The 23,472-nt window shown below is 39.0% G+C and overlaps 1 protein-coding gene across 7 annotated transcripts in view; it reads right to left on the bottom strand.

Annotated features, from left to right (window-relative positions):
- The window catches only part of HMG20A (high mobility group 20A), a 99,163-nt gene that overhangs the window by 31,935 nt on the left and 43,756 nt on the right, over window positions 1–23,472 (bottom strand). For 2 of the 7 annotated variants that reach the window (NM_018200.4, NM_001304504.2), the window contains 7 exons: window positions 20,809–21,021; window positions 17,074–17,206; window positions 16,302–16,333; window positions 10,486–10,561; window positions 9,606–9,821; window positions 8,795–8,937; window positions 2,513–5,146 (listed from right to left, as the gene is read on the bottom strand). In NM_018200.4, coding sequence (NP_060670.1) covers window positions 8,801–8,937; window positions 9,606–9,821; window positions 10,486–10,561; window positions 16,302–16,333; window positions 17,074–17,206; window positions 20,809–21,021 — 807 coding nt within the window. In that variant the 3' untranslated portion in view covers window positions 2,513–5,146; window positions 8,795–8,800. Of the gene's footprint in view, window positions 1–2,512; window positions 8,938–9,605; window positions 9,822–10,485; window positions 10,562–16,301; window positions 16,334–17,073; window positions 17,207–20,808; window positions 21,022–23,472 lie in introns of those variants that run through there. The other 5 variants (XR_001751049.3, XM_011521158.4, XM_047432109.1 and 2 more) reach the window with 3 other exon arrangements.

The following is a 23,472-nucleotide window of genomic DNA, read 5'->3' as shown; positions in this document are numbered from 1 at the left end:
CTGGAAAATCTGCATTGGCCATGCACTTAATTTCCCAATGCCATTCTTATCTTCTTGTGGCTCCTCCTTTTGCATTTCACTAAGCTAAGAGAATTTACATTTCTACCTCTGGCAAAAGTTTCCCCCTGTAGACACATAGTCTTGTGAAAACTAAACTGAAATGGTTTCTGGATGAGCAGATGTACATTAACAATTTCACCTAGTCTGATTCTCAATCCTGATTTCTTTAATGGGCTGGCATATAAACTACTGCTTATATCCATAGATACTGAAGTATATATTTGAGTGCAGGCTATATATCAAAGGTAAACAAATAAAACAAAGAAAAAACCCCTGACTTGGAACTCTCAGTTGCAAGGCAGGAAATTCTTTCAGAGGGCAGGAAGTAGCTATGAGCTTTTCCGCTAAGCAATACTTCAATTTCCCCACCCTTAGGGAAAGCTTGTCCTGGTGTTGTTTCAATTCAGCAGATGCTGAGCAGTTAGAGAAAGGGAACAAACAACTAGGGGAAGTATTACCACCTGTTTATGTTGATTTTTACTAAACAAGACTGGCCACCAGCTGTTGTAGGGTAGGGGAAGAGCTAGATGGGAACAGGAAATGGCAACTCAGATGGAAGCCAGTTTTTGGCTTTCTGGCTCTCCGGGGGAAAAAAGTATCACGGAAGTACATGGTCATTCTCAAATGGCCAAGAGACAAAGGCAAGATAATGCACTCCATTCACTAGCATGGCGGGGTTGGGCTTAGAGTGCATAAATGAAGTCACACATAGTTATGAAATTAACATTAGTTGCCTACTCTATATTCATTTTCTCCTTCTTCCTTACTAAAACCTGTATTGTTGGGCACAGTGACGTCCATGCAAAAATGATATTTCTTGGCCTCCTTTATAGCTAGCTATAGTCACATGATTGAGTTCTGGCCAAATTAAGTGAAAGTGTTGAATACGATTTCCAGGAAGACTCTTTAGAGGGCCCTGACTCAGCTAGGTTTGCTCATTTTGTCCTTGCCCTCTTTTCCTCATGCTGCCAGGAATTTCAGAGTGATGGCTGATGGTCAAGTGGCTATTTTGGACCACGGGGTGACCTTGAGAAAGATCATGTTGTGGAACAGACAGGAGCCTCCATACTAGCCTTTAACTGCCCAACTTTGGCATAGTTTTCTATGAGAAAGACACACTTCTTATTTAAGCTGTTGCTAGTTCTGCTTAATGTAGAGCCAAACTCAATCCTAACTGAGATACCCTGATAGTTACTGGCAATCATGTAACAGATACTTCCTATCTTCCTGTCCTCCAAGGCAAGGTGGATTCTGTTACCTTACTCTATCCTTCTTACAATAGTACAGGATTGCTGAGGCACGTGTTATGTCAGAAGAGGAAACTGGAGTTGAAACAAATCAAGACTTGCCCAATGCCACACAAATGGCTACTTGGAGAGCAGCAGGCTCTGGAAACCAGGTTGCCTCACCCCTAGGATTTTTAAAAGCATAGTAGAAATAGGTGACAAATTTCCTTTAAAAATATTTTGATTAGTTATTTTCAAAAAGCAAGCATTTGGCTGGGCGTGGTGGCTCATGCCTGTAATCCCAGCACTTTGGGAGGCCGAGGCTGGTGGATCACAAGGTCAGGAGTTCAAGACCAGCCTGGCCAACATGGTGAAACCCTGTCTCTACTAAAAATACAAAAATTAGCTGGGCATGGTGGCGTGCACCTGTAATCCCAGCTACTCGGGAGGCTGAGGCAGGAGAATCGCTTGAAACTGGAAGGCGGAGTTTGCAGTGAGCGGAGATCGTGCCACTGCACTCCAGGCTGGGCAACAAGAGCAAAACTCCATCTCAAAAAAAAAAAAAAAAAAGCAAGCATTTAAGCACATCTCCTTTCTTCTATCAAATGATCTTCTATCAAGGGGACATCAGAGTCACTGACTTTAAAAACATCCTTGTAAGTTGTCTTCAGAATACTACTGCTATATTAAAATGAATTAGAATTCACTGTATTGTTACAGCATACATTAAAAGAGCTGACTTCTCAAACCGGTAAAGATACATTTTGAAGTAGCAATTAGTAAAATGAATGTGTTACTGTTTTAAAAGCATAACAGATGTCATGATTAATGTAGAGTTGACAAAGTCTTTAAGAGGAAAAAACAGAAATAGAACTTTTTTATTTATTTTTTATTTTTTTGAGACGGAGTCTCGCTCTGTTGCCAGGCTGGAGTGCAGTGGCACGATCTCGGCTCACTGCAACCTCCACCTCCCAAGTTCAAGTGATTCTCCTGCCTAAGCCTCCTGAGTAGCTGGGACTACAGGCTCATGCCACCATGCCCGGCTAATTTTTGTATTTTTAGTAGAGACGGGGTTTCACCAGGTTGGCCAGGATGGTCTCGATTTCTTGACCTCGTGATCTGCCTGCCTTGGCCTTCCAAAGTGTTGGGATTACAGGCATGAGCCACCGTGCCCGGCCAGAGGTAGGACTTTTTGTTACAAAGCAAGTAAAATTGAAACAGGTGAATTCAACGTAGAAAAGTTTTAATGAGACAAATGTCAAACAAGCACATCAACTTCTTAAAAAACAAAGAAAATCTGAAAGTTTAATTACAAAAACACTTATACAGAAAACTTGGCATTTCAACAGTTCCAAACACATGTACACAAGTTTTTTCTAAAATCAGTCAGAAATAAAATACCTTGTCTCCCTTTCCTCAGCTGCTTCTTGTATTTTAATTAAAAAGAAACAAAGAAATCTGTAACACTGAATAGGCAACAACTTATTTCTTGAGAACATAAAAGTACAGTAATATCTACAGGTGTACTGGGAAACATGAGTTAGGTATTGTGCTAGCCTGTAACTTCATTTACTGCCTCCTCACTGAGCACAGAGGAGAGAGGAGGTGGCACAGACCTGGTCTATAGATACTGACAGTTTTGTGGCATCTGAATCCCAGCCACCAGAGGCAGGTGAGTAGCTACTGGGAAAGACAGCATTTCAGAAGCAAGCTGCTTATTTTGTGAAAATGATTTCATACTGTAGGCTCTCTTGAAATCTCATGCATTCCTGAATATGCAAATGTTTCAAGTCACTGTCAAGTGTCCCATCTAGAGTCAGAAGAATGATGATCCTGGACCATGTTATGGCCTTTTCTGGTCACAAAAGCAGTGCTAGCAATGCTGCACAAAACTGAACACAAATGAGAAACAGAAATATGAGGAGGAAGGAAGACAGGACACAAAGCATCTGGCAGAAGGAAAAAACAAAACTCCAGAATGGGCTCTGGATGTCCTTCTGCCATAGACAGTGAGTTCTAGCTTGGGCTTTGCAGACAAGGAGTCTAAGAGAAGTGGCAGAAATAGCAGATGATGGCAGGGAAATAGGAAAATACAGAAGAGCAAGAGAACTGGCTAGGTTTATAGCAATAGATAATAATGGGGTCTTATTCTAAAAAATTGCCAAGTGATGGTATGTGGGTTTCAGCGCATGGATATTTGATATATGTTCATATAAGACATTTTAAAAACAGATTTTGTTGCTGTTGTTTTCCTTTGGACTAATAAAGAAAACAGGCAAGGAGATGCTGAGAAGACAGGATGGTGTAGCAACATGACAGGTAGTTCTGCCCTATGCCCTGACTTATGGGCATACTATGAGAGGGGCCGCACTTCTATCCACCTGCCTGCAGTGGTGTGGGGCCCAGACAACGGGCTCTGCTTGCTCTGCCTTTGGTTCCAAAGATCTCAGCTGTAACCTTTAGCCTTGTGCTCTGCAGTGTCAAAACAAAAACAAAAACAAAAACAATGAACAACCAAAAAACCCTGAGGTAAGAATCAGAACCTCTCTTTCCTTTTGCTGTTAAAGGAACCAGAAACTGCTAGGCGTGATGCTTGAGCCCAAGAGTTGTAGGCTGTAGTGTGCTATGATAGCATCTGTGAATAGCCACCGCACTCCAGCCTGGGCAACACAGGAAGACCTCATCTGTAAACAAAACAAAACAAAACAAAACAAACAAAAATGAACCAGAAAGTCCTCTTTACTTATGCTGTTAAAGAAAAAATCACTAAGGAGGGGGAAGGAAGGGAAGCCTGTCTTCCTCACATGGATTCAGCAGTTAATGGCTACAGAAGGAAGACAAAGGACATGAGAATTCTTCCTTGCTTTTTTTGTGAGCTCAAGTGACTATTTTGAATGATATTTCCACCTATCTAGATCTATGAATCATTACTCCTAAAGAAGACAGGAATTCCCTCAGTTTTCACTTACAATAAACTTAGGGCTTTGTACTCTTTCCCTTTCTCCTCTGTTTACAAGTGACCTTTTCCTCAGCAAAAATGCTCCACAAGACATTGTCAACAGATGGGAACAGAAGAGCCTTGCTGGGGCTGGGACTCCATGTCTGTGCAGGAGCAATGCTTAGAAAACAGCAGGCAGTACCAGTGAGGAAGGAAAGAGCATTCTCCTTTAGGGCAGCAATCACAAAGCCACACTGAGGGCTGGCACCCACTGAGCACCGTGTGGGGTAGGAAACACAGCCTTGCTCCACAGGGCACTGTCAGCAAGAAGCTCCTTTCTTTGGAGTCACAGCAGGGCAATGATGGGAGAAGACTGGGCCTGTCCAATGCAAGAAACTCTCCTTCAGAACCTTGCTGAGCAACCAGTTAGTCCAGAGGTCAGAAAATGGAGATGTATAAATTGGTGGGGGCCAAGGAAAGCAAAAATAACCCCCAGAGGCATTTAAAAAAGTGACAGCTAGGTAAGAAAACTGGAGCTCCACTGATAAAAGGGTCTAAGCGAAATTACAATGAAAAGTCTTCCTTTCTGCAGCAGCAGATGTCAGCATCCGGGTCACCTAGTAAGCTGAAGATATGCAGATCCACTTTAACAGAAATGGAAATGGTAGGAACCTGAAGACCCGGGAGAGTGGCTGTACACCTTCAAAGCTTCACATAAGGACAATTCCATAGGAAGCTCATATACATGTTGCTGCTCCCTCATTTGGCTTCCTGGGGTGATGGCCTTTCACTCACTGATAATTCTTTCACAAGCAAAGGGATCTGCACTCTTTCTCTGCCCCCACTCAGTTCAAATTTCCATGGATGGCTTCTCATTCCTCACAAGTAAAAACACTTATGGAACATCTTGGAGTTCTAAGACCTGTAGAATCAGGAAAACAAAACAAAACAAAAACAAAAACAAACAAGGAAAATAACACCAAGAAAGTAAGTATTGAATGGAAGGGGTTAGCGCTATGGATTTTAAAAATGCTTTGGTTTCATAAGCGTTAAAGTGAGTGCAGGGTGTATGTAAACTGAAGAACTCATAAAGCTGTAAGCAGGCAACCTCATTGAGATGTTTTACATAACATTTCAATGAGAAACATGGCCCTGTTCCAGTTCAGCAACAATGGGAGGTAGGAAAATCATCAGCTAAACACAGAAAAGCAACTATCAGGGACAAACCTGAGGAGGGAAAATGAGTACCCTACTTTAGTCTGAAGAATGTATGGTCAATCAAAACCAATTTTCTTCAAGTGTTAACTAAGGATATCTGCATGTATAGAGATGTATTATGTGCATATAATCAAGAACATTTCTCATATTAATAAAAATACAGTCACATAAGATTTTTTTTCCCTAAACTCAAACAGCCAAATATTATCATTGAAATCAGGCAACATATGCATTTTAATAGTTTATATAAGGTAGTCACCTTTCAACTTAAAATCACCCTCATGGCCTCCTCCTAGCTCCACTTGTCTCTAGGTACTACTCAGCTACAAGAAAGGTGACAGACAGGTAGGGTAATTCTTCCACTGTATATTTATCAAAATAATTTTAAAATGAGCTAAAATTCTATAACATTATAATTCCTGGATTACAATTTTTATCTGTTTACTTCCTATGTATCTTAATGCTCTATTTCAGGATTTTTTAGTGCTTTCCCCTTCCCCCATCCACCTCTTCCTTAGAGCAATGTTTTAGAAACCCAGTGAATGAGAGAGTTTAGATATCTGTGGTTCTAGTCTTGGATTCTGTACTCATCTACGCAGATATTTTCAAGCAAGATGTTTCTCCTCTCTGGGATTCAGTTTCTTCATATATAAAATGTTAGATTTCTAAAGGTCCCTAATATGCTCCTCTGAAACTTGTAGACCATTAGCTTCCCTTCACTCACTGGCTCCTGACAGTGGATGAAAACTTTGCCAAACTCTTGTCAGAGTAATTAATTGCATCATGAGTGCTGGGGACATCAGCCTCGCTGTCTGTACATATTTGTATAATGAGGCCAAACCAGTATTAATCACAGTCTTTGTAATTGTTTCCTTTGACAGTTTTGGGGGTGTGGGGAACCATCTATTGTTAGTTATGTTTGCATGGCTAGACTGTAAGAATCTGTAGTAATATAACAGTTCACACTTTTAGCTATTTTTTCAGGGGCAAAATATTTGTAGGTTAAAATCAAGGATAATAGTAATATTCTAAGTTTTCAAAGACTCATCAGAAAACAAATAATATAGTTTATACTCTTGAGATGAAAAAAGCTTTAGGAGAGTCTTACTGGCAAAATGCTCAAAATGGAAAACCACTTTTGGGTCAATACTTAATTAGCTGCCCTGTATCTATGTGAAGAGACACGATGTTATCAATTAATGTTTTCTTTCACAATCTTCCACACTGTTTCTCCCAGCTCTCACTTTTCAAGCCTACAAGAGTGCTAATTGAAAACACTGTACGAAAATGGGAAGGATGATGAGCTCCTGAATATCCCAGGCCTAGATTTACAAGCTGTTCCCTTCATAAGCAGCAGCAGTAATGCCACTTCTTTATTCTGCAGGGAGTCCAGCCATCTCTAAGAAGTACAGTCCATTCCATCTGGCTACTCCCTAGAAGGATAGTAATCCTTTCCCCATCAGAGCATGGCTGAGGCTAAAATATAATGCATTGCCTTGTACAGTTACCATCCAAGGGCATCACCAAGAAGTATAAAGACTTCTGCCTTTGTCTTTACTAGGCATTTATCTTTATATATGTTGCTCAAAGTCCAAACCAAACCAGAATATAAATTATGTATATGAGTGTGCTCATGTACTCACAGGACAAATAAAGATTCAAACCCATGACCATTCTAAGGAACATATCCTGCTGTTGACTCTTATTTTAGTATCCATATATGGCCACCTCATTGTAGAGTCTAATCTTAAAATTTCCACACAGTTTATATGTCTGCAGGTATGGAATAACTTAACCAATAGAGCAAAGGGATGCCAGTTTTGTGGGATGGCATAGTAAAGGGGTATCCTATCTCTAGGAATTTGAATGAATAAATACCAATTCCATTTGAGAAATGACCATTAGTACCAAAAAGTGTCATGGGTAGATCTCTTCTGGAAAAAAAAAAAAAAAAGGATACATACTACTGCTCATTTGTTGAACATATTTTTTAAAAACTTATTTTCTCTCTCTTTTTTGCTTATTGAGAATTTTATATTTTTATTTTGTTTTTTTTTTTTTTGAGACAGAATCTTGCTCTGTTACCCTGGCTAGAATACACTAGTGTGACCCTAGCTTACTGAAACCTGAACTCCTGGGATTAAGTGATCCTCCTGCCTCAGCCTCCTGAGTAGCTAGGACTATAGGTGTGCGCCATCATGCTCAGCTAATTTTTTTCATTTTTTTTTAAAGCAGGGGTCTCACTATTTTGCCCAAGCTGGTCTTGAACTCCTGGGCTCAGGCAATACTGCCTCAACCTCCCAAAGTGCTAGGACTACAGGTGTGAGCCACTGTGCCCCACCAAGAGTTTATTTATTTTTTATTTAAAAAAATTTTTGAGACAGTGTCTTGCTCTGTCACCCAGGCTGGCATGCAGTGGTCTGATAATGGCTCACTGCAGCCTCGCCTTGACCTTCTAAGCCCAAGTGATCCTCCCACTTTAGCCTCCCAAGCAGCTGGGACCACAAGCGCATACCACCATGCCTGGCTAATTTTTTGTATTTTTTGTAGATACGGGGTTTTGTCATGTTGCCCAGACTGGTCTTGAACCTGGACTCCAGCGATCTGCCTGCCTTGACCTCCCAAACTGCTAGGCTTACAGGTGTGAGCCATTGCACCTGGCTGAAGAGTTTATTTTTTAATCTATCAAAACCAGGGAGTTACCTGTTTGTATGGTGAGTCCACATCAACATTTAACAGACAACAGTCACTGTGTTATTGAGTGGTGAATATAAAAGCTTCCTACTTATGTAGGCTCACATACATACAATGTCTCACTGACTACTTCTAAATTATCATTAGTATTTTCCAGAGAAAAGGAAGATTAAAAATTAAGTTATATTTATTTTGTTCTGAGTGCTGTTTTGGGGATGATTTCTTCTAAGTTTCCCACTCACTTTTCAAAACCTTTTGGGAAACTAATGCCCAAGAATACAGCTAATAAGTGACAAAGCTAGAAATGAGGTCAAGCCACAAAAACCATGCTTTTCCCATTAAACCATTCTGAAGCAAGCATAAGAAAAAACTGTCTTGAGTCTGTTTTCTTTTATTTTTAGAGACAGGATCTCTCTGGACTTGAACTGCTGGGCTCAAGCAATCCTCCCACCTCAGCCTCCCAAGTAGCTGGGACTACAGTGATTCTCTTTTCTAATATTATTTACTACATTTAACAACCATGCAACAGGAATCTTAACCAAGTCTCCAACTTGTTCATCCAATGTAATCCCAGGGTTTTAGTAGTATTGATAAAGTCTGATGACATCTTATTTTTGATGATGTGCTGGCATATAAATATTTATCAGTGAGCACTCACCATTCCCTAACGATCGAGTCTGTTCACAACTTCTCGAACTGTAGCTATGAAGTTTTCATTGTCTTGGGGATTAGCTAAAATAATACTGTGCAGTCTGTTCATATATGAGTCAATGGTGTCCACTGTAGGTGTCTCTCCACTTCCTGAAGTGAGATAAGAAGAAAGTAAGAAAATCCTCCCTATTCAGTTGTACCATAAAACACAATTTCAAAGAAACAGTGATTCTAATGTGGTCTGCTCCACAGACATGCTTTTAATTTTAGAGGAGAGACTTTTAGATCTCAAAGAAATGAAATTAGTCCACATACTCTAAATAAACAGATGGGCTATATAATTGCTGTATAGTATATATGAGCAGCTGCATGTAACAGAAGGTTAGACTCGCTCAGCTTTCTGCTATGACTATCTTCAAAATGAAAGAGTATATAAGAAATACCAGTGTTCATTCTCCCTTCCTTCCCGTTAAAACAAAAACAACTAAAAAGCAAACAAACATACATAAGAAGAAACACTCTCAAGATTTACTACTCAGTTTCCAGTGTTCTGAATAGCAAATTAAGCTTAAAAGAGGGGAAAATAGATATTAAAATATAAATGGACAAAAATTTGAATGACCAGAGAGCCTGAAACATTGGACGATTTTAGCCAATACTGACATTCTATTATATCCAGAGAAGAAAAAATGTAGTTTAATTAATTTTCCTCTGGAGGAGATTTCAATCTCTCCACACCAGTACTAACATAAACAGCACCCCACTCCACACAACACACACACCCCTGTCACTGACAGTTCTCAGGCAGGAGGACTTACCAGGCAAGGGCATGCTGGCAAAGCTGCTGGTCAGCACCTGCCGCAGGGTCTCCAGGTGCTGCTGTAAGACTGTGTTGCGGCTCCGCTCCTGGATCACATCCACCTCCAGCTTCTCCACTGCTGTGCGCATGCTCTCCACGTGCTTTTGCAGGGCTGCATTCCTCTCCTCAAACTCCATGTTGGATTTGCGAAGCTGGCGGAGCTCTGCTTCCCGAGCTGAGGACATACATCCCACAGAACACATGCAGCACTAGAAGGAGTCTCTGAGGAGTCCCAATGACTCTTACAGGGAAGTTCTGCTTAGCTGCCTCTAATTTAGCTACCCCACCTCATCTCCCTATTCTCATTATGGCATTCCAGATAGCAATTTCAGCAATGAAACGCCTGACTCCCCAGAGCTATTTTAATTCTTAAAGCTAGTCACATTCCATACATAAGATTGCAACAAACAGTTTCAATTCCCAGTATTTTTTTGTTTGTTAGTTTTTGCTTTTTAAATTGTACAATCAGAAGCCTGAGGGGTTTTGCAGGGGGATCCTGGGAGACTGGCCAAGCACAGCTGTAGGTACCCATCTTTACCACAATGGGATCAGACTTGCTCTTACTTATTTTATATTTTGGACTCCCATGTAAGTTTTTATTTGTGCAAGGGGTTCCAGGCTAAGAGTTTGAAGACAAGTGAATTTGTGATTTGCATTTATTTCCTTTCATCCAGAGACCAAAGAAGCTTTGACAACAATGCCCTAGCTTTCCTTCACTGGTCTTTGAGTAGTCCTAAGGAGGGATAACACTACCATTGCTTTTGAGCAATGAATTTCTTCTGAGAACTAAGTCCCCTGTCAAAAATCTGAGAAACACAAAAAGAAACTTCAGTAATCACCTTTGCTATGGTTCAAGAATTCCTCTGTAAATATAGGGATGTCAAAAACAGACCGTTCCTTTACCTCTGTTTCTTTCTGTGAATCAAGAGGAACAAAACAGTTAATTCTTAATAGAAGATAAATTAAATAATAGTGCCTGAAGACAATGATCATGTCTTCTTTAAAGAAAGAATAGGGTGAGCAGGAATCAGTCCAGGTGAGTCTGTGAGGGAAATGTATTCATCTTTTCATTGGAATCCAACTTTCACAGAGCTTAAGCAGGTAAAGTATTCACTTCTCTCAGGTATACAACTACTGTGCAATTAGAAACCTTAAAACAAAGTTACGTAAATTTCCCTAATGGAGAATTTGAAGCCATTTCTTAGCCTTGTGTTTTGAATAGTCAACAGTATACAGTTGTGAAAGTGATTGCAGTGGGAATTGAGAAAGAGTAGTTTTTTTTCAGTCACTTTTGTTGGTTATGCATGTAAAATGCTCCCTGAGATAAGATTATGCAATATAAATTTGCAGAGTGGACAATAAGAATTTTAAGCAGAAATGTAACTGCTATGAGCAATAATTATGATATTCCATTGGTACTTCTATTTACTTAAGAGAGGCAGCCTATCTTTGGGGTCTTTTAGATTTTCTTTAGACACAGGAAAAATAAACAAACAAACACATGAGACCGAGAAATCAGAAATAACCAGGCTCTAAAAATTAGAAAGCAAACGATTATGTGAGATACAAAAGAATAACAAAGCCTAAAATTAATTCACCAATAAGCCATTAAAAATAAAAAAGCCTCACAAGATCATTGCAAAATATATTCCACAATGATCTTTAAGAATAAAGTCAATAACTCAAGATGCTTTGGCTGTCGTTTCTAAAATGAATTTGAAGTTGAAAGCATTGTGAATATTAATTTTAAGTGTGTTGGCATAATGTTCAAAATTTTCCATAACAAAGGTGGTAAAATGGCAGGAAGTGAGAAATGAAGAAACTGCTAGTGAAATCTTAAGATCCCAGGACCTTTATAACATGAAAAACATGCAAACATAATACCTAGATTTCATTCCTATAAACAATTGTTTAAAGCTAGACAGAATGTATCTTTCCTACTCTTGTCACCACTAGCTTTTTTTTTTTTTTTTTTTTTTTTTTCTGAGAGGGAGTCCCTCTCTGTTGCCCAGGGTGGAGTACAGTGGCACGATCTCAGCTCACTGCAACCTCTGTCTCCCAGGTTCAAGCAATTCTCCTGCCTCAGCCTCCCAAGTCACTGGGATTACAGGTGCCCACCACCATGCCTGGCTAATTTTCTGTATTTTTTTAGTAGAGACGGGGTTTCGCCATGTTGGCCAGGCTGGTCTTGAACTCCTGACCTCAGGTGATCCACCTGCCTTGGCCTCCCAAAGTGCTGGGATTACAGGCTTGAGCCACCGTGCCCAGCCTCCACTAGTTTTTTAAATCTTTGAACACAAAAATGACTTGGTGCCCAGTAGAAAAGCTAAGCAGTTCACAGCTTAAGAGGGAAATCTGACACCCGAGCTCCTGTATTCATAACGGTGGCCGCCTAGTAAGGGGGCTGGGCTGTGTGAACCACCTGCCAATGGCAGCTGAGCAAGAAAGACACTGAAAAGCTATGTAATTTCAGAGCACTTAATTTCTACTTGTATTTTTCTTCCTAACAAAAGAAAGCAAAGTTTCCCAGAATAATTTGAAAATGAACAACAAAATTATCAATCGAAAGTCCCAAGTTTCAACATGCAAAGCTCTACCTCGAGCCAGTTCCTAGGGGATTTCAATGGAAACTAATGTATGAACAAGAAAGGCTGGTTCCAGAAGGAATCTTAGCCATATTTCGCAGTGGCTTTCTCTCAAATTTGCTGGCTTCCCATATGCTTTAACTGTTACTGGGCTGCTGCAGGAAAACAAAACTTAATGACACACAATCCCAACATGCACAAGGCATAACAGATATAAACATAAGTCCACAGATGACAGCATAAAGACTTAGGACATTATCATCCTATCTTATTCAATCTCCAACTTAACTGCAGTTACATGAGATCAGTTACCTAAGCTATACGTCTCAATATCTGCCAGTTAGATGGGTAAAGTGGAGACGCTTGGCTCCCATTACCATGGTACAAAGATCCCTCTCCTCCAAAGTCTTGACTCTCCTCAGACTGGTAATCTTTTCTCTTCTTTGCCAGAGCAGTCCAAATCAAGCTAATTATGTAAGGGCAGAGGACAGCACCACATAGGTGCATTAACACACTGCCCCTTGGTACAGATTCTCAGAGCACAAAATAAGAAACATTAAAGCAATTCAATGAAACTGTTCAGTCTCTGAAAGGTAACAGAGAAATTCTACTTAATGGAAGAGTGGTAATAAAAACCATCAGCGCTCTTCCATTACTGAGCACATTTCACGGCATGGAGAGGATCCTTCTGGGGGCTTGGGTGTACTTAAGCTGCTCCAAGGATAGCTCAAAGGATTAAAATCATAAGGATCTGATTACCCTTTCACTGAAAGGGTCTAATTTGTTCAAGCTGAGTGTCATTCTGTCATTTCTCATAAATTAAAGGAGAAACAAAATTATTGTTTCTATCTTAGTTTTCACATGAGATATAGACACTTTCTTGAGAGTAATACTCGCTAACTCTTGGGTCTAGTGGGCTGGCTTTCGATTTGAGAGGAGCAAGAATATTCTTCACTTTGGTTTCCATTCTATATATTGAGTGGAGGTTAAGAGAAAAGAGGCCCTTTTGAACTGAACCTATTTTGCTGTGATCTAGGCTCAGGGCCAGAATTTCAAAGAGTGTGATATGTGCTTCTCTCAAGAGACTTTTACTTTGGGAAATGCTCTTAACATTGTGTACCAGCCTGAAGTGCCCCACTGCTATGCAGAATGGCTTTCAGGTCAGCATTTCTTTAGCTCTAATATGCCCTCTCCAGTACCTGCCTTGGTAACAATGACTTAGGGATCCAAGTTTCATTTAGGAATACAATAGGTTTCTTTACTATACACAAACCAAATAGTTTACTTAACTGGCAACACATTTTGCTGACACCTTGGGCAACGAGGCCCATTTTTACTTTCAACGCTGTAATTTATGCTATGTAGCATGGCACTGTGCTGTCAAGAATGTTAGACTATGACACAGAAGGCCTGGGTTTCTGTCACAATTCTGCCTCTAATTTAATTCAGTAAGTGATTCTGGGTAAATTCTTTCCATTCTATATACTGTCTTAGGCAAGTCACTTTCCTCACTGGCAAAATGAGGTGGTCAGTTGAGAGGATCACTGAGTCTCAGTGTTTTACTCCTCATAGGATAAGTAAAGGGAAATAAGTATGTATTTAGGATCTATGGTCTTTAGACACTGCAAGATATTTGCTCTTTTATTAAAAACTTACTCATACCTCTGCTCAAGCCATTTTACCCACCCTGAGATGCCCACAAAACCTAGGTCATTTTTAAGTCCTGATTCAATTACTCCTTTCCATGGGCTCCTTCTGCGGCTGCTTTTCACCCATAGTGCTATTTTTCTGAACTTCTATTATACTAAGAAGTTATATGTAAGAAAATTACTGGGTAACAGTGTTTAAAAACAGTTTTAAAACTTTCAAATCAGTTCTTTTATACTGCAATTGTTCTAAAATTATCTAATTTAGGAAACATATTATTCAGTGAAAAATAAAAATGGATGAAGTAAGGGACATTAATTGGGTCAACACGCTTACTAAAGGAGCTTTATCCTGCTGTGGCCATACCAACACATGGATTTACAGAACCTACTGTATAACCTTTTAAGAAACAACTGCTGGCTCTCCATCTACTCACTCCTTTTTTTTGTTTGGTTTAACATGTGTCTAATCCTGTAACAGGGAAATACAGAGACTCACTTCTTTTTGCAAATCACAGAAATTACAGAAATTCATATCACACTAATGTATCTGAATAAACACCTTCACTTCTCAAATAATCAGCAGCAGGTTCTATGATACAGACTAAATCTACATCTTTTCTGACTGCAACTATCAAGTTTACTGAAGACAAAAATGCTACATATAGTTTGGCCAGCAAAATTCATAGTGATGAAATGAGTCAGATGACTGACACCTATTCAGATGACTGACTAGAAAATGTGAGATCTAATGTTTCAGGTTACTGTCCAAATTCTCTTTGGTAACTGTTAAGGATAGAGAAGCTATAAAATAGAGAAAAAAAGAAGCACAGGAATTTCATGATATTGATAGCTGGGCACACAGGCAAAGAAAGAGAGAAGTAATTATACAAATGTCTGCTAATATGAAAAGTTTACAATATTATTATGATTTAAAATACAAAGAATACATACAAAGTTTCTCCAGCAAAACAACATAACATTTCATCCTAATTAGAGCATAGAATGTCATATATAATTACATTTATATAGGATTTATCTGAAGAATAAAATGTAAATATTTACTATGCTTCTCACTTTATAATTCATAGATGGTAATAACGTCTATTTGACCTGTGAATCTGAATCTTTTCTCTATGTTTTAAGGTAACCAACATTTCCTTGATTTAGTAAAAAACCAAACACATGTAAAAGAGTACATCAGAAAATTCTTTTTGTTCAAATTCTCAGTTATTTCAGGTCAACTTTGAATAGATTCCATAAAATAATCATTTGTGGAATACCTTCTCAAGGCAAAGGTATCATGATAGGTGGTATGGGGTTGGATATAAAGATGGAAACTAGACTGTGTATGTCCACAAAGACATTACAACCAAAGAGTGTGAGCCCTTGAATTACCTCAAAACCCCTAGGTCAGATCAGCTAAGCACATAACACAAGTATAGAGAGCCATGAGGGTTAAAGGAAGTTAGAGGAAACAAGAAAAGTTTGAAGGAGAAAACAGAATTTGAAACAACACACACACCTAAATCCCATACACACACAGAAACACAGGCCTAAATCCTAACAATGGGGCTGAACCAAGTGGGAGGAAAGAAGCCAGTACACAAACATGTGCTAGTGAAGTGAGGGAATAGGAAAGGAGGTGTGAGAACTGAGATACTGGGCCGGGCGTGGTGGCTCACGCCTGTAATCCCAGCATTTTGGGAGGCCAAGGCGGGTGGATCATGAGGTCAGGAGATCGAGACCATCCTGGCTCATATGATGAAACCCTGTCTCTACTAAAAATACAGAAAATTAGCCGGGTATGATGGCACGAGCCTGTAGTCCCAGCTACTCGGGAGGCTGAGGCAGGAGAATTGCTTGAACCCGGGAGGCGGAGGTTGCAGTGGGCTGAGATTGTGCCACTGCACTCCAGCCTGGGCGACAGAGTGAGACTCTATCTCAAAAAAACAAAAAACAAAACAAAACAAAAAACAAACCTGAGATACTGTCGCTTGTGCTCTATCGACATTGTAGTTGAACAGTTCGCTTTAAGCAAATGCTGGATTCTTTAAATAACAACTTTTCTGAGAGTCAGATTTAAGTATTTGGTGATGATAAACTATGGTCATGTTATAGCTTTCAGCTAGCCCTCATTTCTATACTTCATTCCAAATTCCAGCCATCTTTGGCATTTAAAGCCAATAAAATTCTCAGATCACAGGAAAGGATTGAGGTTAGGGGCTGTAGTTCAATGACAGACACACAACGTAAGTGTCTGCCATATGCTAAGAACCCCCAAGCTAAAGTATCTCATTTAATCTGAATTACGAGATAGGAAATACTTTGCCATTCATTAAAAAAAAAAAAATCCAATAGCATTTCAAAAAGCAACATTATTATAAATACATATATATGATATGTAGACAGATGGCTAATTACCTCATGATCATGAGTGGCCTGCCGGGCTGCATCTAAAAATATAAAAGAATAAGAGAACATTACATTTAAAAAGAAAGCAATAACAAAACCCAAGTATACGACTCTGCCAAACTATAAAACCTGCTTGTATATGTAGATTCTCATAACATATGATATTTTTCCTTAAGGCTTTATTAATCGGTCAGCCAACAAAAGTAAGGGAACCCCATGCCTACAGAATTCATAATTAGGCATAAGAGAAACAGCAGACACAGTTCTTAACTTTAGGGAGAAAAGGGTGGAAGAGTGGACAGAAGACACAAACCAAAGACTACTTATACAACATCTATAATTTTAGCAGGCTAGATGCCCAAGTATAGAGAAGATGCAATGGCTAAGGAAAAATAGGCTAGTTGTGGATGGTGCTTCAAAAATGACACATGAAAGGCTTAGAAGTGTTAAAGGGAAGTTACTGATATAATTTTGTAGATAGGCTTGCTTACAGGCAGAGAAATGCCTAAACTGGGAATCAGGAAAAGAAGGGCAGGCAACTAACAGGGGTCTCGGAGGACAAGTCAAAATCATTGATAATAGACACGGAAACCCAGTTGAAATTTCTAAATGAGAGCAATGTGATTTTAATAAAATTTCAAGATAATGCTTGTAAGTGAATACTGGATAGTGGAGAAAAAACAGAAACACATCTTTTATAGTTACCACTCTTAACAGTTGGCTTTATGACACTCCATCACCCACAACAAACTACAAATACATTTGGTTCTGGTTTTGATACCTTGCCTATGAGATTTGCCTTTCTGACGGTCCTGGGTTTTCCTACTGAAGACCTTGTAGGCCTCTGTTTTCTGATACTGTTCCAGTTCCTTCATGTAACGCTCCTTATCTCTGTCTGCTTCATCAAGGTAGCGCTAGGAAAGAAATACAGAATTATTTTCAAGAAAATGAGATCCTATTTAAATAAAATTAAATTACCTATTTGAAGAAAACAGGACAATTAGAACATGGGAAGAAAAGAATATAGGGAATATGCCTTAAAAAAGAATCAGAAAAACAAGAGTTGTATGAATAGAATAAAATATAACCTCTCAATTATAAAAGTAAATAGGTCATTATGAGTTTTTAGAATATTTATTGCCTTTTCTAACCTAATGAAGACAAGTTCTATTGAGATCATTCTTATAAAAAATTCATGAAGATGATTAGAGTTATTCTTCTAACTCTATAGATAGAACTCTATATGGCCACTAGAGTCATCCTCATGAGATGTGCACACCACATAGGCACACTTAGTCTTCCCAAGGGAAGGAACAGAATATTACTTTGTTTTGCTGTCTCCAGCCCATTTTGAGGGGATGATGTCATACATCAATTGGCCCTTTAAGAGCCAGGAGGTTGGAGCAATGAAGCTGGGAGACACAAAGAACATAAAAATAATGACCTCATCCTATGGACCTAAAAATGGACTACTCTGAGAGAACCTATATCTACATGCTTTGATTGCTTTGTGCTATTAATTATTTAAACAAAGTTCATTGATCTACCAGGATTATTTTGTTTAATGCTTTGCCCTTTTCATTCATCAAAATGAAGTATAAGAAAGTATAAAAATACTGCTTCTAAATGAACAGAAAACACACTCAGAAATTATGTTAAACACTTTGTCCCGCGTAAGAGCCAGATGTAGGGGATACTCAACTGGCCAAATCTGGTACAATTTAAGCACCAAAATAATTAAGTACAGTAATAAATTATAAACTAGTAGAAAAAACTTCATACTATTATTAGTATGATTTATAACAGACACAATACCAATGATTTGTTACCATACAAATACAATAAATGGGTGTAGAGGCTGAGCGTGGTGGCTCACGCACGTAATCCCAACATTTTGGGAGACCGAGGTGGGTGGATCACTTGAGGTCAGGAGTTCAAGACCACACTGGTCAACATGCTGAAACCCCATCTCTACTAAAAATACAAAAATTAGCTGGGTGTGATGGTGCACGCCTGTAGTCCCAGCTACTTGGGAAGCTGAGGCTAGAGAATCGCTTGAACCTGGGAGGTGGAGGTTGCAATGAGCCGAGAGTGTGCCACCGCACTCCAGTTTGGGCGACAGAGCAAGATTCCATCTCAAAAAACAAACAAACAAACAAACAAACAAATAAATAAATGGGGGTAGGGGGTCGGGCATGGTGGCTCATATCTGTAATCACAGGATGTTGGGAGGCCAAGGCAAGAGGAGGACTGCTTGAGCCCAGATGTTTGAGTCCAGCCTAGGCAACAAAGTGAGATCCCATCTCTACAAAACATAAAATAATTAGCCAGTTTTGGTGGTGTGTGCTACTTAGGAGGCTAAGGTGGGAGGGGTGCTTGAGACCAGGAGGTCAAGGTTGCAGTAAGCCAAGATCTTGCTTAGATTAGAATGCTGAAGGCTACCTGGTAAATGTAAAGGGAGTGCTGGAGTTGGAAAAATCATCACGTTGTAACCATAATGATAAAGATTAAATCAGGCAAAAATAATCAATGGATGCTAAATCTAGGGGAAAATGTTGATGTAAAACAGGCTGTTTGTATGTTCTTAAATCGTCTCCCCATAGATTACTTATTAATGACAAAGGAGAATTTAAATAATGTACCAGGTAAGCAAAATTAACATTACTAGTGAGAAACAAAAGGACATTGTGTGCCTGCATATGTGACATATTGAGAACACACCACCACCTATGCAAGTAATCCCACCAAGAATGCGCAACCTCAATCTAATCACAAGGAAACATCTGAAAAATACACAATGAGCAATGTTCTGTTAAAGGTAAAAGCAGCGGGGGAAGCAGAAGGGAACTGTATTTTAAAAAAATATCAATGTTATAAAAGAAAAAGAAAGATTATGGAAATATCCCAGTTTAAGCTAAAGAAACTTGACTACTAAACACAAAACCTGACCCTAGACTGGAACCTGTTTTGGAAGGGAAAAATGTTATAAAGAAATGACATTCAGTCAACATATAGATGACAGATTAAAGCACTGTTAATGAAAAATTATGAAATTGATGACTACACTATGGTTATATAAGAAAATATTCTTTGACATACACACTGAAATATCCTGGGGGTAAAGGGCTACAATGTATATAATTTATCCTCACATGATTAAAACAAAATTTTGTGTGTGTCTGGGTGTACACATGCAAGTGTGTGTGTGTGTGTGTGTGTGTGTGTGACAGAGAGAGAGAGAGAGAGAGAGAAAGACTGAGCATGCAAAAGTATAAGAAAGACTGAGCATATAAGTGCATATGCAAATGGAGAAATGGAATAAAATGTGTTAACAATAGGTGAATCTGGGTAAAGAGTGTTGGGATGTTCTTTGTATTATTTTTATGTTTGTAACTTTTTGTGTATTTGAAATTATTTCCAAAAAAAGTTAAAAAAACAAAAACAAACACAAAACCTTTGTCCTACGTAATAGTGGTTATCCCAAGAAATAAGCACTGTTATTTTTACATTTTTGTTTATACATTTCTGTATTCTCTGAAAAGAGAATAATGAGCACATATTAATTTTAAAATAAAGAAAAAAAAGAAAAGAATAGCATAGTATGTACAGCCCACTATCCTTTTATACAGTAGCGCCAAAACAATGGATGATATTCACTGCTTTCTACTAGCTTGCTACCACAAACACAGAGCTTCAAAAGTTGCAACTGAATCTGATCTCTTTGAAAATTTCTGAATTCAATTAATTCCCAGGAGAGTATTTCTCCATTTGGTTTTAGTGTGTCTGGAATCCTTTTTAAAAAGTGTAAGTCATAAAAGAGTTTAAGACGTAAAAGAAATACAGATATCTTTCAGATGCTGGGAATGCTGGGAACTTTTAACCCAAAGCAGCTCCCACAACCATGACCACTGCTCAGCTTTAGTGGTACTTCAACCAGCTCATGGCTATCTTGTCCTTAATTCCTTTCAAATCTCTCTAATGAACGGATTCATTTCAGTTTGCCCATCAGGTTAGTTTCTGTCTTAGAGGAGAAAGAATTCAAGTTGTTCTTGCTTTATTTTCAATAGTAGGTTAATTTGCCAGAACTCTAGTTAAAAAAAGTATTAAAGCAGTAACATTTTTTCTTAAAAATCTTATGTGAACTGCAGAATTGTGTCAAGTGACTTTTTCTCATTTAATTCACGACTTTTCATTTAACTCAGTGGAATACATTTTATTGACAGATTTCTTAATACTGAACCACTTAAAACAATCTTATGTGAACTCAGCGTATAAAAAGTGGTGTTGCTTTGGTTGAGGGGAGTCCTAGACTCCTTCCCTGCTCACACCCCTCTAGCAAATAGTTTAAAAATCACTAGGCTAGAGAAAATTGCTATGATGGACCCTGCTATTCTGGTCTCCTAGGCACTGTGACAAAACTGCAGAATCAACTGTCCATCCTCTTTGCTTTTCTTATATAAGTTATTTCTGAGATATAATCAAAACCAAACAAAGAGTCAGGAATAGGAACAATTACCTGTTTTTCCTCAGGAGGCAGTTTACTCCATTCATTGCCTAACATCCTTGTGATTTCTGGAAATGGGACTTCTGGTCTCTTTGCTCGAAGTTGTTCTCGACGCTCATTCATGAACCGAACATATCCTGTAAGGGGGGATTTGGGTGCATTGCTGTCTCGAAGAGGTTTCTTCCTCTTTCTTCCTTTGGACCAACCTCCTCGTTTACTTCGTTGCTACAAAACAAAACAAAATAAAAAACCAAAAACCAAACAACAACCATCTCCCAAAATAACCCAACAACAACAAAAACAAACAACAACAAACAAAACAGGATTAAGAGTTGCAATTTGGCCCTGGATATTCAAAGCTCTCCACATCTGTTGTAGGTAATATACAAATGACAGCAATGCAATTTTTGAGGAACTCCAGATGCTTCACTTGCAACCTCTTTTATGTATCACACTACAAAATGTTACACTAAAGGGCTATTTTTGTGCTAATCTCAATGTATGAGAATAAGAGGTGCCATGATCACTCAGCTTTGACCTTCATATGCATATGACTGTCCCACAGACAACTGTCAGGTCCTGATTCCTGACAGGAGAGTATCCAAATGGGAAATACAGCAGCACATGCAGCATTGTGGCAGGGAGGCAGACATTGTCAGATTAGAGTAAGATGGTGTCACGTGCACCAGGCAAAAGAAGAAACAAGTTGTAGCAGAAATTAAAAATAACTCACAATGGGAGTTGCTCATTGATAACTTTCAAAGACTAGCTTATTTCCCATAGCAGATAGCAGATAGCATAGCATAGCAGATAGATACTAAATTAATATCTAAGTCTCAGAAAAATTTTAGTAAGTATAATATATCTGAAATGAAGACGAGCTCTTTGGCTTGACAATTTGTTCCTTTAGATGTACATTTTATTTTAATTTTTTTTTTGAGGTAGAGTTTTGCTCTTCTTGCCCAGGCTGTAGTGCAATGGCGCTATCTCGGCTCACCGCAACCTCCGCCTCCCAGGTTCAAGTGATTCTCCTGCCTTAGTCTTCCAAGTAGCTGGGATTACAGGCATGTGCCACCACACCCAGCTAATTTTTGTATTTTCAGTAGAGATGGGGTTTTGCCATGTTGATCAGGCTGGTCTCGAACTCCTGACCTCAGGTGATCCACCAGCCTCAGCCTCCCAAAGTGCTGGGATTATAGGCGTGATCCACTGCACCCGGCCTAGATGTACATTTTATAGTCAGAGGTCTTTATATGTTGAGTTACCAGGTAAATCAAAAGATTGAATCACCTCTGAAAAAAACTAAAGAAATGAAAAGGACTGAGGTACCACTGATGTTTCACCACAGCCTTTCTTCTTGGCCCTTTAAATAAGATGTAAGGTACATAATATTTTTACTTCATAATTTTACAAATACAGCCGTATCAGTTAATATTTCATGGATACAAGAATTCTTATTTCAGACAAGAGAAATATAAATAAACAAGGACAAAAATATCTAAATACTAATTGTAGTACTCTACTCCTCCAAATATATATAAAATGGTATAATTCACCACTGGGCAAATTATGTATTTGGTATTAGGTTTTTCTTTTTTTAAACCTAGTTACATTAAAGCTACTGTGGGCTGGCACGGTGGTTCACACCTGTAATCCCAGCACTTTGGAGGGCCAAGGCAGGCGGATCACTTGAGGTCAGAATTTCGAGACCAGCCTGGTCAACACGGAGAAACTCCATCTCCACTGAAAATACAAAATTGCCTGGGCATGATGGCATGTGCCTGTAATCCCAGATACTTGGGAAGCTGGGGCAGGAGAATAGCTTGAACCTGGGAGGCAGAGGTTGCAGTGAGCTGAAATTGTGCCACCGCACTCCAGCCTGAGCAACAGAATAAGACTCCACCTCAAAAAAAAAAAAACAAAAAACAACAGAACAATTTAATTTCAAGGTATTTAAGAAACTTTAAGCATTCATTATAATCTTTAAAAATGCCAATAGGATAGATAAAAAAAAATTAGTTGTTTTTTTCTTTCTTTTTTTTTTTTTTTTTTTTTTTTTGAGACGAAGTCTCGCTCTGTAGCCCAGGCTGGAGTTCAGTGGCGCTATCTTGGCTCACTGCAACCTCTGCCTCCGGGTTCAAGAGATTCTCCTGCTTCAGCCTCCTGAGCAGCTGGAATTACAGGCACACACCACTGCACCTGGCTAATTTTTTGTATTTTTTAGTAGAGACGGGGTTTCACCATGTTGGCCAGGCTAGTCTTGAACTCCTGACCTCAGGTAATCCACCTGCCTTGGCATCCCAAAGTGCTAGGATTACAGGCATGAGCTACCATGCCCGGCCAGCTTTTTTAAAATAAGAAAAAAGACAAAAATCAATGGTGGCACTCTTTATTGGCTTAAAAAAAAAAAAGAGTGCCTTAAAACACTGACAATGTAATCAGTTATTTGTAAGAAACACTGAAAGTCCAACAAGGGCATGACTGCCCAGGCTCATACGCCTTTGTGTGAGTTAAGGAAAGTTACCCCCTATGGGAGGGTGAAAGATTTGGTAAGTAGTATGAATCCTTTGGGCACATAGGGCTCCATGCAGCAGGGCTTGCTGAGCAGAGCCTTGAGCAAGGGCATGTACACTTCTCATTAGTTACTTATTAATGATTAAATCATTCACTCATTCA

The sequence above is a fragment of the Homo sapiens genome, chromosome 15, assembly GCF_000001405.40.
Source record: "Homo sapiens chromosome 15, GRCh38.p14 Primary Assembly".
Lineage (NCBI taxonomy): Eukaryota > Metazoa > Chordata > Mammalia > Primates > Hominidae > Homo > Homo sapiens.
The sequence above is the reverse complement of the archived record's forward strand: the minus strand, read 5'-3'. Positions and strand labels throughout refer to the sequence as shown.